The sequence below is a fragment of the Homo sapiens genome, chromosome 18 (genome assembly GCF_000001405.40).
Source record: "Homo sapiens chromosome 18, GRCh38.p14 Primary Assembly".
Lineage (NCBI taxonomy): Eukaryota > Metazoa > Chordata > Mammalia > Primates > Hominidae > Homo > Homo sapiens.
Genome location: NC_000018.10, coordinates 41,861,800 through 41,875,569, shown reverse-complemented (window position 1 = coordinate 41,875,569; position 13,770 = coordinate 41,861,800). Strand labels below are relative to the sequence as shown.

General features: G+C 42.0%; 1 long non-coding RNA gene across 1 annotated transcript in view, besides 1 other annotated feature; it reads left to right on the top strand.

Annotated features, from left to right (window-relative positions):
* LOC105372085 (uncharacterized) overlaps positions 1–2,060 on the top strand; it is a 34,754-nt gene extending 32,694 nt beyond the window's left edge. Inside the window, exon 5 of the long non-coding RNA XR_935411.2 lies at positions 1,500–2,060. This is a non-coding gene — a long non-coding RNA (uncharacterized LOC105372085). The remainder of the gene's footprint in view (positions 1–1,499) is intronic.
* Positions 9,252–9,808: an enhancer, noted in NCBI's record as "H3K27ac-H3K4me1 hESC enhancer chr18:39445727-39446283 (GRCh37/hg19 assembly coordinates)". NCBI's record gives its function as "activates a minimal SCP1, AML or CMV promoter by ChIP-STARR-seq in naive H9 embryonic stem cells {active_cell/tissue: H9 hESC(naive)}" and the evidence as "EXISTENCE:reporter gene assay evidence [ECO:0000049][PMID:30033119]".

The following is a 13,770-nucleotide window of genomic DNA, read 5'->3' as shown; positions in this document are numbered from 1 at the left end:
ATTCTTGCTGGATGAGTCATTAGGCTTATGTTAGCCTATGCTTTTCTTAGGAATCATTCAAAGTTAATCATAGCTCAAATTATGAAATAGGTCATTCTTTCTTTCTTTCATTTATCTATTTATTTTCCTCAGAAATTCAGCTACTTGCTCTTCTCAAATTGTAATCTGGCTCAATTAGAATCCACCTTTAAGCAACCTTTATGCTTCCCCTCCCTAGTCAGCACCCATGGCTTCAGAATCTACTCTTCCATGCATGGGCTCTGTGTCCCATTCAATCCCTCAGTGTCTCGCTATGTTAATGTATTAATGACTGCTGTTTGAGTCATGTGTTAGCCTTCCTAGAAGTAGCCATTTTACTGGAATATTCTGAAGATACAATGCTTTAAGTTTTAGTGTTTGGGGAATAATTTTCTAATGCTGAGAACTTTAAACACCATGATGGGCAAATGATAGGGAGAGTTCAAGGCACACGGGTGCTTTTTTAGTTCTCATAAATTGTACATCACAGGCATCTGCCAAAGTACAAATGTGGCATTGCATCCATTTCAGTCTTTTAAGGAAAAATAGGAAGGGGTGTAGAAGGAGAGACTCCTTGTAGCTATATTTATCATGGAAAAAGGGGTTTTTATATCCAAACTAAATCCTTTGTGTACATAGACTGCTTTTTTCCTAAGTTAGTTGACACCTGTGGAACGTCTCTTCTGGGAGGCAAGAAGAGGGCGTAGGAAAAGACAAAGCTATAAGAGAAGGGATCTGGCTGTGTGATCCAGGATTATTGGTTGTTCCAGTTGTCTCAGCTGTAAAGTATATGATCTGTCTAAGGTTTCTAAGGGTCCCTGACATTGAAATTTTAGCTAATCAGAGAAACATATAAAGTGGTAGTCAGGGAGGTTCCTGAGTTTTGGTAAATCTTGTCTCTTGGAACCTCAGCTTCATCATAAGGTGGAGTGGTGGGGGTGGCGGGTGTGGGGAGTGTGGATTGCTTGATCTCTAAGGACTCTTCCAGCAATAAACATCTTTATTTGAAGGCAGTTATTAATTGCACTTTAGCTTTCCTTGGCTTTATCATTTGGGGAATAATTTTAGAGAAATCCTAGCACTTTGGGAGGCCGAGGTGGGCGGATTGCCTGAGCTCAGGAGTTTGAGAACAGCCTGGGCAACATGGTGAAACCCCATCTCTACTAAAATAGAAAAAATTAGCCAGGCATAGTGGCGGGCACCTGTAGTCCAAGCTACTCGGGAGGCTGAGGTAGGAGAATTGCTTGAACCTGGGAGGTGGAGGTTGCAGTGAGCCGAGGTTGCACCACTGCACTCCAGCCTGGGCGACACAGCGAGACTCTGTCTCCAAAAAAAAAATCTCCAACTATTTGCTTAAGTTGTTTATGAAAATATTTCTAATTGGGTACTTTTCAAGCTACTAATTACTAAACTAAAGATGAAATATCTATGCCTCTCAAATTTGACAATGTCTCTTTAAATTGCTTTTTTCTTCCTCACAGCTAGATCCACATCTGTAAATGTCTAAGTCATGCTGCCAGCCAGTCTTGCCTACAGCTACTTGATTCTGGGAGAGCCTTCTATAAAACTGATTACAGCATTTCCCTGCCACACAGTGAAAAAACAATGTAGTTTGATATGATAAAACATTGATTGAATACAGGGGATATGAAAGTGTCTGTCATCAGATTGGAGGGGCAAAAAGAGTGGCTTTCTTCTTTCTTTGGGGTGAGGTAGGTATGAGAATTGCATAGATATTCATTGAGATAAGCTTGTTGGTCTTTCCTGTGAAATCACTTGTTATCAGAGCTTTGCCCCCTTTCAGCTCTCAGTGAATATTTCCATCCCCCTAGAAGTGTGTGTGTTTTGTGATAGGGGAGACTGAGAAAATGAAAGAGGATTAGCGTTTGCTAAATATCCCCTCATTCATTCACTGATTATTTCCTTTTATGTTAATTGATAGACTGATATCTTTCTAAGTGTCTGGCACCTAATAGGTATTGAATTAAACTATTGAATAAATAAAAATATAGGTTTCCAATTCAATAAAGCAAAATATAAAACCAAATGAGTATTTTATTTTGGGGTGAAATGATGATGTATTGACAGAGGTTGGGGTTCTGTGAATGGAAGAGGCAAGGGGCCTGGTCACTCTGCTCAGGGAGATTATAATCTCATTAATTAAACAGTTTTGTACAAGGTTTAATAACAATGTGAGAAATAATTAAAACGACGATTAGAAAGCTGTTTTAAGACAACGTATTGTGTGTGTTGATTTAGTGGGTTTCTAAGCTTTTCCTGAGAGAAGGAGCTGCCTGTAGCACCTTAAAAGAGGGGCTAGGTGGGAGGAGGGAGGCCTTTAAGTGGGGAGGGAACAGGACATGCAAAAAGGGATATATTTAAATACAAGTATTTATTGAGTAGCTACTACAGTCCAAACACTCTATTAGGTTCTGGGCATACAACAATAAGATTTAAATCATGGATACACTCAGAATTTAAATTAGGGGTTCTCAAACTTTTTTTTTTTTTTTTGAGACAGAGTCTTGCTCTGTTGCTCAGGCCGGAGCGCAAGTGGCATGATCTACACTCGCTGCAACCTCTGCCTCCTGGGTTCAAGCAATTCTTCTGCCTCAGGCTCCCGAGTAGCTGGGATTACAGGGGTTTGCCACCACACCCAGCTAATTTTTTATATTTTTGGTAGAGATGTGGTTTCACCATGTTGGTCAGGCTGGTCTCGAACTCTTGACCTCAAGTGATCCACCCGCCTAGGCTTCTCAAAGTGCTGGGATTACAGATGTGAGCCACCGTGCCTGGCCTACGATTCTCAAACTTTTATGGGCTTAAAATTCACCTGGGATAGTTGTGACAATACAGATTCCTAGGACCCATCCAAAGAATCACTTTCAACAAGTCTGGAGTGGGACATCAAAAGCTGAATTTTGATAATCACCCAAAATGATTGAATATAGATTCTCTGGGGACTGTTTTGGGAGACACTGACCTATGATAGTACTCAAAGCATGGTCTCCAGACCAGCAGGGTCATCTGGAAACCTGTTAGAAATGCAAATTCTCAGGATCCACCTTAAACCTACTGAATCAGAACCTATGAGATGGGCCCAAGAATTTGTGATTCTGATGCTCAGTAAAGTTTGATGACTAAGTCTGGAGGATGTGGTGGGTCTGGAGATAAGTTGTGCCTCCTTCACAATTCTTCTGGGCACATCAATGAATCAACATTTATTCTTTGAATATGTGTTTGTATTATTTACTTCAATCTGAAGGCACAGGGTGATGTCAAAAAACCAACAATCAAACTTTGTGTGAAATTAAAATACAGATAACTGGCATAGATGAAAAAAATAAGCTTAAATAGACAGCTTCCTAATGCCAAGTGGGTGTTCATCTGTTGGTAAAGTAGCAGATCAGATGTTAATTACAGCAGAGGAGTGCTCAGCTAGCAAGGGACAGTCATATTTCCTTCAATCATCTTCAATATTTGTACATTTCCCAACATTTGTGTGTTTTTTCCTCACTTATGCTGTTAGGGGACTGTGTGATATGGGGCTGGCACCAGGCAAGTAAGAATGCCTGGAGTTGATGGCCTTTACTAGCACTGTTACCCTTTGCAACTAACATAATTTCTCTCAGCCCAGATTTTCTCTTTCATATACAAATAATGTGGGCCTATTTACCTCGAAGGGTAGTTGTAAAGATGATAATAGAAATAGCTAACATTTATTGAGGGTTTTCTCTGTGCCAGATACTGTGTTAAGTGCTTTACATGAATTATCACATTTAATCTTCCCTAGAACCCTATTATCATTGTTGTTCAAATTAAGAAATTGAGCCTTGGTGAGATTAAGCAAATCGCCGGAGGTCACACAGCTGGAATGTGGTAGAGCCAGGATTTAAATTTAGAATGTCTGATTCAGAACTCAAGCATATCACTGCCATGCTGGACTATAAAGTTTGAAATGAGATAACATATAAACTGTAAAGTGCAATTTACATTGAGAAGAAGAAAAGTGTCCATGCACTTTGTTTATTCACGGGATCGTCTAATACATTGTGCATGTAATAAGGGCTCACTAAACACCAGTTAATAAATGACAACGATGTGTTCTTTAACTTTTTTCCCTAATCCAAAGGTCTTGTCTGATTGTGTTTTCAATGTTATATAACAAGCTCTACATAGGACTGAAACTGAGAAACTTAGAATAGTTCCTAGGGTAATATAGAGACCGAGGATGTTTTCTGAAGCTTCCATCAGCTTTTGGGTTCTAGTAGCTGCTCCATATCTCTGGAGCAGATGGGATATTAGGGTGTTTGGTTCTATCTCCTTATCATAATTGGAGCTCTTTGGGTTATTCTTTTAACATCTAGGCTTTTATATCTGTAGAATAATCCATAAATTGGTTAAGCAAGAAACAGTGGTTTTCTGCATTTATCCAGAACTATGTTAAGCCTTGTGGGATGTGAAAAAAAGTTTATGTCTTAAACTATAGAATTACTCAAGGACTTTATAATTGAGCAGGTGGGTTGAAGGATGAGGCACAGGAAATGAAACAGCAATGAATCACATAGCCTATAACTGTAGCTCATATTGACAGAATAAAGACTTATGGAAACACAATTACCAGATACACTGAAAAGAATTATAGAAAAGAGCCTATGGAGAGGGAGCTTAATAAATGTTTGTTAAATGAATGAATGGATAGATGGATTGACAGTTTAGAATGGGAAGGTTTGAACTCTAGTCCTTACTACTATGGATATGATTTAGAAGAAGTTACTGATGGTTTTGGGGCCTCATTTTTTTTTTTTTGTTTGCAAAATGGGTAAAATAATGCTGACCTTAGTACATTTTAGAGTGTATGATGATAATGAAATAAAATAAAATAATGGATGTAAACATACTTTGTAACTGGAGAATAATATATAATTTTAAATTGTTGTTTTCATTTTTGAATGTCTGCAGCATTCAAAAATATTTTAAAATTATTGTTTTGAAATATGCTGCTTGTGAATAAAGGTAAACGTAAAACACAAAAATAAAAGGAAGTTGAGCCCTGGTGGATGGACACAGGCCAATGGGCTTCTTGGCTGAGGGTGGACTTGAAGAAGAAGCCACTGCTCCCTAAATAGAGCCAGATTCCTGCTGCCTCATTAGCAGAATTAGGGAAGGCAGGTTCAAACCTGTCTCCACATTGAAACAGGATGCATTTAGATACAATCTCAGAATCAAGAGCCTGTATGTTTTATCGAAGAACAGTTCTTGAATGTCATATACAGATGTGAAGTGGATTGAAACAATAAGTACCTCATGCCAACTCCTCTTTGTAATTTTGGAAAGAAAAAAAGCAAAACAGAAGGATACATTGATTTCTATCTTTTTTTAAAAAAATCATTATATAAGTGATTTGTGAATTTTGATTCTTCTTTTTAAAAACGAAAATTAGAATAATAAGAAAAAGCTTACTTTCATCTTTGATTCCAGTTTCAATTCTAGTCCTTTGTCTTCCTTGACAGAGGGAATCACATTTGTGAGTTTGATGTGTGTGTATTCTCAGCTAGTTTTGAAAATCATTTGTTTTATAAGTCTTTAACATTCATATAACTAGTACACAATTCATATTGTTCTATCATTTTGTTCACTCTGATTTGCTTTTGATTTCTAGTCTGCAGAGATACACATATTTAGCTAATTCCCCTTAACTAGACAATGACCTATTAAAAATATATTTTCAGACCATATAAGACTTTGTCCTCCCAACGGGCTCGTCACATTTAAGAAAAAAACACAGCACAGCTCCAGGACACACTGCCTCCCATTTCCAGTAGGACAGGCAGAGCCTGACCAAAAAGGCAAAGAATGGCGGAGGACGGTTCATAATCAATATCATGAAACACAATTCAAACAATGGCCTGCTTCTGAAAGCTACTGTTCAGTTGACCTGAAAATAATCTCTTTTCCCTCTCCAAGACTGTGTTCTGTTCTCCACCCCATCGTCCCCCTCCCCAGAGTCTTTGTGTGCAGAATCCGAATGAGTTGGGTTTGAGCTCTAACAGCTCTCCCAAGAGTGTTATTATTTTTCCCCCTTTAAACTGAAGGGTGCTAATTAATGTAGGAAAAGTTATATGCCAAGTTTGCTTTGCCTGTGGTTTCCTTAGATTAAAGGCTACTGGCAACTCCAGCTCTGTCAGAAGGGCTGGTGCTGTATTCTTATCCCCTGAAGGAGGCTTCAGCTCTGCTGACTCAAGAAGACTTCAGCTTTTGATTTCGAGTTATTGGATATTGACCCATCACTCACAGCAGAGTTATGGGCCTGCTGCCCTGGATCCAGGGAACTGGGCCCAGGCCCTGCTTATAGCACCTCCCAGACCTCCCTTTCAGTTTCTGTTGAACCTAAGCCTGTAAATGTCAATTTCATTTTGTAAAGGCCAGGCAGTTGTCAGTTCTTCCAGGGGATTCAGGGAGAAGGAACTCAGGATGAGGCTTCCAGTGACACAAACATTCTGCAGTATTTTATTGCAGCTCTTCAACTTCAACCTCTCCCTCCTTCCGTATCCCAGTCTCTTCTAATACACCATCTTCCCTTGCCTTAGAAATTATCAGTGAACCAGCTTTTTATTGGGTCCAAACTGGAAATATAACCAGTTTCAAACTACTCCCATGTCTGGCAGATCAAGTGTGAAGTATTAAAAAAAGTTGTTTGGGTACAATTTCCTCTTTGTCAGAGACTGCTTCCAAACACAAAGTTGACCAGATCAGGTAATAAGACCGACAGAGAGTGATAATTTGGATAATCTTACTGGTGAGGAAAATCCCTATTTAACCTTAAACTTTAGTGTCACCACTAGTCCAGTTACTTCTCTTTAATTCTGATGGTGGCAAGATCCCAGTTTAAGATGAGATTCCTACATGCCCATGCCTACCCAACAGCTGGATTTGAGGACATGTCAGAAGACATTTGCATGAAAGCTAAATGGGCTCTTGGAAGGAAATTTATGTGAGGAGAAAAAGGAACTAGGCACAAAGACTTTGACCCAGTGGCAAAGCTGCCGAGGGCCACAAATAAAAGACAGAAAAGGTGGTTCCTCTTAAACCTTTCTAACACAGAAAGCACAAGAAACCTGGATTTGAAACCCCACTAACTGACTTTGACACAGGAGAGTAGAGGCCTAGAAGCCTTCCTTCCATTTCCATGCCAAGCACTTTGTCTCTTTAAATAGTCCATTGTAGCAGTAAAAGTGTCTAGTGAGAGATGCAGGAAATGGAAGCAGCAGATAAACACTGACTCCTGAACAAAGGCAGTGCCTTGTTCATAGGCAAAATCCCCTTAGTAGAATCAAAGATATGGAGCAGAACCTTAACTAGGAGACTGGAAACTTATGCCCAAGGAAGTCTAGCAGAAGGGTTGAGTGTGCAACTGGAAATGCTTGGTTATTACCTTTCTAGAGTCCAGATAAGCTGGAACTGGGGAGGGGTGGAGTATACGGGAGGGGAGAGTGGAAAAGGGTCAAGAGGCCATCAGCTGAGGGTGACAGGAAAGGTCAAGGCTAACAGGCACACCATAGATACTTGAAATCTCAAATCAAGAAAATGTGCAGAGATTTGCAACATTTAGTGAGCATCTGTTACATGCTTCACGTGTTTACACACAGGGCTTTGGCCTAATTATAATACAATAATATTTCCAATCTCTTATTCATCTTATGTATAGACCAAGCCACTAGGAATCTTTTTGTCCCAGCTCTGGGAACAGATCTATTTTTTTTATTTTTTATTTTTTATTTTTTATTTTATTATTATTATTTTTTAGACAAGAGTCTTGCTCTGCCGCCCAGGCTGGAGTGCAGTGGCGCAATCTCAGCTCACTGCAAGCCCCGCCTCCCAGGTTCACGCCATTCTCCTGCCTCAGTCTCCCGAATAGCTGGGACTACGGGTGCCTGCCACCACGCTGGCTAATTTTTTGTATTTTTAGTAGAGACGGGGTTTCACTGTGTTAGCCAGGATGGTCTGGATCTCCTGACCTCGTGATCTGCCCGCCTCGGCCTCCCAAAGTGCTGGGATTACAGGCCTGAGCCACCACGCCCGGCCAGAGCAGATTTATTTTTAAGACACAACACTGTGTCAGCTTTTCCACCATCAGAGCATTATGACTAATATCTACCTGTGATTGAAAGGTACAGACATATTTTTAGATAGGCCTACTTAATTGTGGATAATATTTTAATATAATATGTCTAGAATTTAAAGATAATAAGAGTAAGCATCAGCATAAATAATAACACCATATTTTTTGGCAATACTTTCACGTTTTTTGGATTGTAAAATTTCTGTTTTAAAAGAAGGCAGGATGGAGGTTTTTCTTTCGCTCATTTTGTAGATGAACTCACAGAAAATTTGAATGACTTGCCAGAAGGTACTTAGATAGTGTTACTGTGTCCGGAATTGGTGGGTTCTTGGTCTCACTGACTTCAAGAATGAAGCCGCGGACCCTCGCGGTGAGTGTTACAGCCCTTAAGGTGGCGCGTCTGGAGTCTGTCCCTTTTGATGTTCAGATGTGTTCGGAGTTTCTTCCTTCTGGTAGGTTTGTGGTCTCGCTGGCTCAGGAGTGAGGCTGCAGACCTTCGCTGTGAGTGTTACAGCTCTTAAGGCAGCACGTCTGGAGTTGTTCGTTCCTCCTGGTGGGCTCATGGTCTCGCTGGCTTCAGGAGAGAAGCTGCAGATCTTCTCGGTGAGTGTTATAGCTCATAAAAGCAGTGTGGACCCAAAGAGTGAGCAGTAGCAAGATGTATTGCAAAGAGTGAAAGAACAAAGCTTCCACAGTGTGGAAGGGTACCCGAGCGGGTTGCCAATGCTGGCTCCGGCAGCCTGCTTTTATTCTCTTATCTGGCCCCACCCACATCCTGCTGATTGGTAGAGCCGAGTGGCCTGTTTTGAGAGGGTGCTGATTGGTGCATTTACAATCCCTGAGCTAGACACAAAGGTTCTCCACGTCCCCATCAGATTAGTTAGATACAGAGTATGGACACAAAGGTTCTCCAAGGCCCCACCAGAGCAGCTAGATACAGAGTGTCGAATGGTGCACTCACAAACCTTGAGCTAAACACAGGGTGCTGATTGGTGTGTTTACAAACCTTGAGCTAGATACAGAGTGCCAATTGGTGTATTTACAATCCCTGAGCTAGACATAAAGGTTCTCCAAGGCCCCACCAGAGCAGCTAGATACAGAGTGTTGATTGGTGCACTCACAAACCTTGAGCTAAACACAGGGTGCTGATTGGTGTATTTACAATCCCTGAGCTAGACATAAAGACTCTCCACGTCCCCGCCAGACTCAGGAGCCCAGCTGGCTTCACTTAGTGGATCCCGCACCGGGGCTGCAGGTGGAGCTGCCTGCCAGTCCCGCGCCGTGCACTCATACTCCTCAGCCCTTGGGTGGTCGATGGGACTGGGCGCCATGGAGCAGGGGGTGGTGCTAGTCGGGGAGGCTCCGGCCGCACAGGAGCCCATGGAGTGGGTGGAAGGCTCAGGCATGGCGGGCTGCAGGTCCCGAGCCCTGCCCTGCGGGAAGGCAGCTAAGGCCCGGCGAGAAATCGAGCACAGCGCCGGTGAGCCGGCACTGCTGGAGAACCCAGTACATCCTCTGCAGCCGCTGGCCCGGGTGCCAAGTTCCTCACTGCCCGGGGCCGGCAGGGCCGGCCGGCTGCTCCGAGTGTGGGGCCCGCCAAGCCCATGCCCACCTGGAACTCCAGCTGGCCTGCAAGCGCTGCACGCAGCACCGGTTCCCGCTCGCGCCTCTCCCTCCACGCCTCCCTGCAAGCTGAGGGAGCCGGCTGTGGCCTTGGCCAGCCCAGAAAGGGGCTCCCATAGTGCAGCGGTGGGCTGAAGGGCTCCTCAAGTGCCACCAAAGTGGGAGCCCAGGCAGAGGAGGCACCCAGAGCAAGCGAGGGCTGTGAGGACTGCCGGCACGCTGTCACCTCTCATTACAACCAGACACAATTTCTGCCCAAGAAAAGGAAGGCGTGATCCAGTTTCTCTTCTTTATGGACCACACACTTGACATGTGACTTCACTTGGCCTTCACAACAGTGCTGCAAGGTAAGCTTTATTATTATTATCCTTTACAGATGAGGAAATTGAATATCAATGAATAGGCAATTCATGATTAACCATCTATTTAGGGTTCAAGAATGAGTTGAACTCGGATCAATCTTTCTAGTTTGAAAGCTGTGTTCTTTCTACTATTCCAAGCTTCTTCCATTCTGCTGTTCCCATTGCTGAGAGAGGAAACACTTAAGTATTACAACTCTGAAACTGTAGAGAATTCCCTTGAAGGGACTGGGATACTGGTGATGCATAACTGGAATTCAGCGGAGCCACATCTATAAGAAGTACTGCTAGGTTTAAGTTGGTAGGAGAAGCTGGTGGGAAAAGGGGTATAAAACACGGTTTGTGGACAAATTCAAGAGCTGAGGGGATGCGGGGGGCACTCTTGAGGTGTTGACCTCAGACCATGCCTGATGGGGACAGAGTGGTTGTTAGCACTAAGCACTTACCCAGTTGTACAATTTGGAGACTGGAAAAGTTCCCTTCTGATCTCGGATAGGCTTAAGCCCTGAAGCATGAATTGTGAATACCTTTTGCTCAGCATCCATTAAATAAATGTTATTCTTCTCCCTGGCAGAAAACACAAATTTCTCTGTTCAGAGCCATGGTTTAGCAGAAGGAACAGAATTTTACAATATCCCTCTTTACGATAATGGCTCTCACCTTCCAAGGAAATGAGCTTGGAGGAAAGGAGCACCATTGAGTGCCCAATGACAAGTCAGCTAGGCTTGCCACTGCTGCTAATTATCTGGCAGGGAGGAAAGGCTGTGTGTCCCTGGAATACGGAGAAGGGTTTGTGAACTTTGGAGAATGGGCAAGGCACTTTAGTGTCTGTGTCATACAAACTGGAGAATGGCCCCCATAGGGTCATGTCTGACCTTTACCTCTTCTCCACTACTGAGCAGACATTTTTGCCAATTATGATCCAAAACACGCTGAAAAGTATCCTTGGCCATTGACAGTTTGCAAGGGAGAAGCAATGCCTCTGGAATAATACCATAGCCAGGACAAAGAGGAAGGGTAAACAAAGCATTACTTTGTGTTGCAAATAGATGGCTTTGTTAAATACTGGAGAAATCCCCTCTGTGTCCACCTTACGCAGCTCTGATAAAAATGCATTTGCAATACGCTCAGTGTCAAGAAATCACATCTTACTGGGCCAAGGAGGTTAAGAGCATCTCCCCAACTACAGAATAAAACTCATTAAAATAGTCTTTCCAGCAAGAGAAAGCCCTGTTTGCTACCCTCCCCATACCCTTCTCTTTTTCATTTAAACTAATGTTTTGCAGAGCTAGACACATGATCAAAATAGCACAATCCACATTTGTATTAAAAATAATAAGCACAGCAAAAATGGGAGGAAAAATTAATGGTAAACAGCATCAGAAAACACAGCAGAGGCAGAAGTCAACTTAACAGAACATACTTGACTGGCAGGTAACACATTAAAATGCTATTTTGGCAGACAGAATTGATAGCAGACTTGCTCAAAGAAAATCCGCTCCAAAAAGACGACAAATACAATCCTAATCCCTTTTTCCTGCCACATGCTGCAGATGAGTGAAACCCAGGGGGAAAATTCTTATTACAGCAAATAGGTGTGAGTCCAAAGGAAAAATTAAGTCAAGTTGACAATTTACAAATTTCCTTTCAAGCATGAAAGGGGACTGGAAACCAGGTTTTTTTTTTTTTTTTTTTTTTTAATCTCAAGTCTGGTGTTTGGTACCTTTTAATATGGCTGACTGAGAATAAAGTTCTAAGAAAAGGCTCATTACCAGCCCAGGGATCATCTCTCGAAAATAAAGCCAGAAATAAAATAACTTTTGTCAGGCAAGCAACATTAGAAAACCTAATATTGGGATGAGACATTTTTCCTGCTGTCTGATGGTTATTGACAGATTGGCAGCTTGGGTTTAGCTATGGGACCGCTGATTAAAGTCAGAGGGGAAAAGCACAGCATCTCTCCACAGTTAACTACGGGACTGTCAGGGTCATTAGATAATCTCAGGAACATTCCTCTTCAGTTGAGGGGGTTTCTAAGGGTCCCCGTGTAGACTCTGATATTCACATGAGCTTCTGTTACACCTGCATAGCAGCCTTCTTTGCCCATTTAAATGGAAGAAATCCATGATGTGTTAATGTACTGAATCAATGGATTATTACCAGTGTGGTGGGGTCCAAGCCCCAAGGTTGGCCATTTAGAATATGGTGATAGGAAAGAAGTACAGAAAAAAGATAAATATTCTTAGGTTGATTTTGAGAAATAAGGGGGAACATGGACCCAAAGTGAAGTGAATTTGAATCACACAGGCTATGACTTTTGTTGATAAAGAAGAAGCCTGGAGGCTGAAGTTCTAGTCCCATTCATTGATATTTTTTTAGTCCCATTCATTGATATTTTTAGGTCCCCTCCCCTCCCCTCCCCTCCCCTCCCTTCCCATTCCCTCACCTCCTCTCCCCTCCCCTTCTCTTCTCTTCTCCTCTTTTCTTTTTTCTCTTTGAGACAGAGTCTCACTCTGTCACCCAGGCAGGAGTGTAGTGGCACGATCTCAGTTCACTGTAACTTCTGCCTTCCAGGTTCAAGCGATTCTTCTGCCTCAGCCTCCCAAGTAGCTGGGATTACATGTGCCCACCACCATGCCTGGCTAATTTTTGTATTTTTTAGTGGAGATGAGGTTTCACCATGTTGGCCAGGCTGGTCTTGAACTCCTGACCTCAGGTGATCCACCCGCCTAGGCCTACCAAAGTGTTGGGATTATAGGCATGAGCCATTGCGCCCGGCCAGGCACCGGCCCCCTCTTTTCAATATTAACTTTCTTTGCAATGCAGACAAGTCACTTTTAACTAGGGTAAAGGCTTATTCCTGTGTGCCCTGGAGGGTCCTGCTTTATATCTAAAGTAACTATCAATAATTTTCTTCTCACTTTCAAAAGTATCCTGTTTTGGTTAAGTATTATATGGTCACTATACTTGTAAATTATCTGGGGCCAATGTTCATATTTGAAAATAAAGAGAATGTTGTAGAAAATGCTACCCTCAACATACATAAGCATTTCTTGTGTTTCACTGTGTTAAGCATGCTTTTAATCAGTTAGTGCAGTTATTGAGAACTAGCAAATAAACTGTGGTGAATTCGGATGTTGCTCCTATTAAGGATGTTTTCTTTTAATGGAGAACTTTTGAAAATGAGCTTTTAATAACTCAGGACCATATTTTTAATGGTAAAATTACAGGCAGCCTCAGCTTATATCAGGGATTTTGTCTTCTTTGAGAACCACTAAACATTGGGCTGGTAAACTTCAGTGGATAGTTTAGGAGACCCTAAAAACCATTTCAGGGCAGGCTATACACAAAAAACTCGGGAAATTAAAACAAAAACATAATTGTGGGTCCTAACCCTCAAGGTTTTAGTGAAGTCCTTAATTTAGATTTTTCAGAAGCTCATTAGGTGTTTCTGATACTGAGCTGGCTTCGGGGACATCGACCTATCCCAGTATTTTCATTTTACAGGTGAAGAGACTGAGGTCCAGAAAGCGGCTGCAATAGCAATGACTATTTGTTCTTTGTTGTTTACCAAGTAGTATCAACAAAAAGTATTTCCTTTAATTTTTATCAGTGTCCCATGGTGTTTGAAATATTAGGGACTAATAT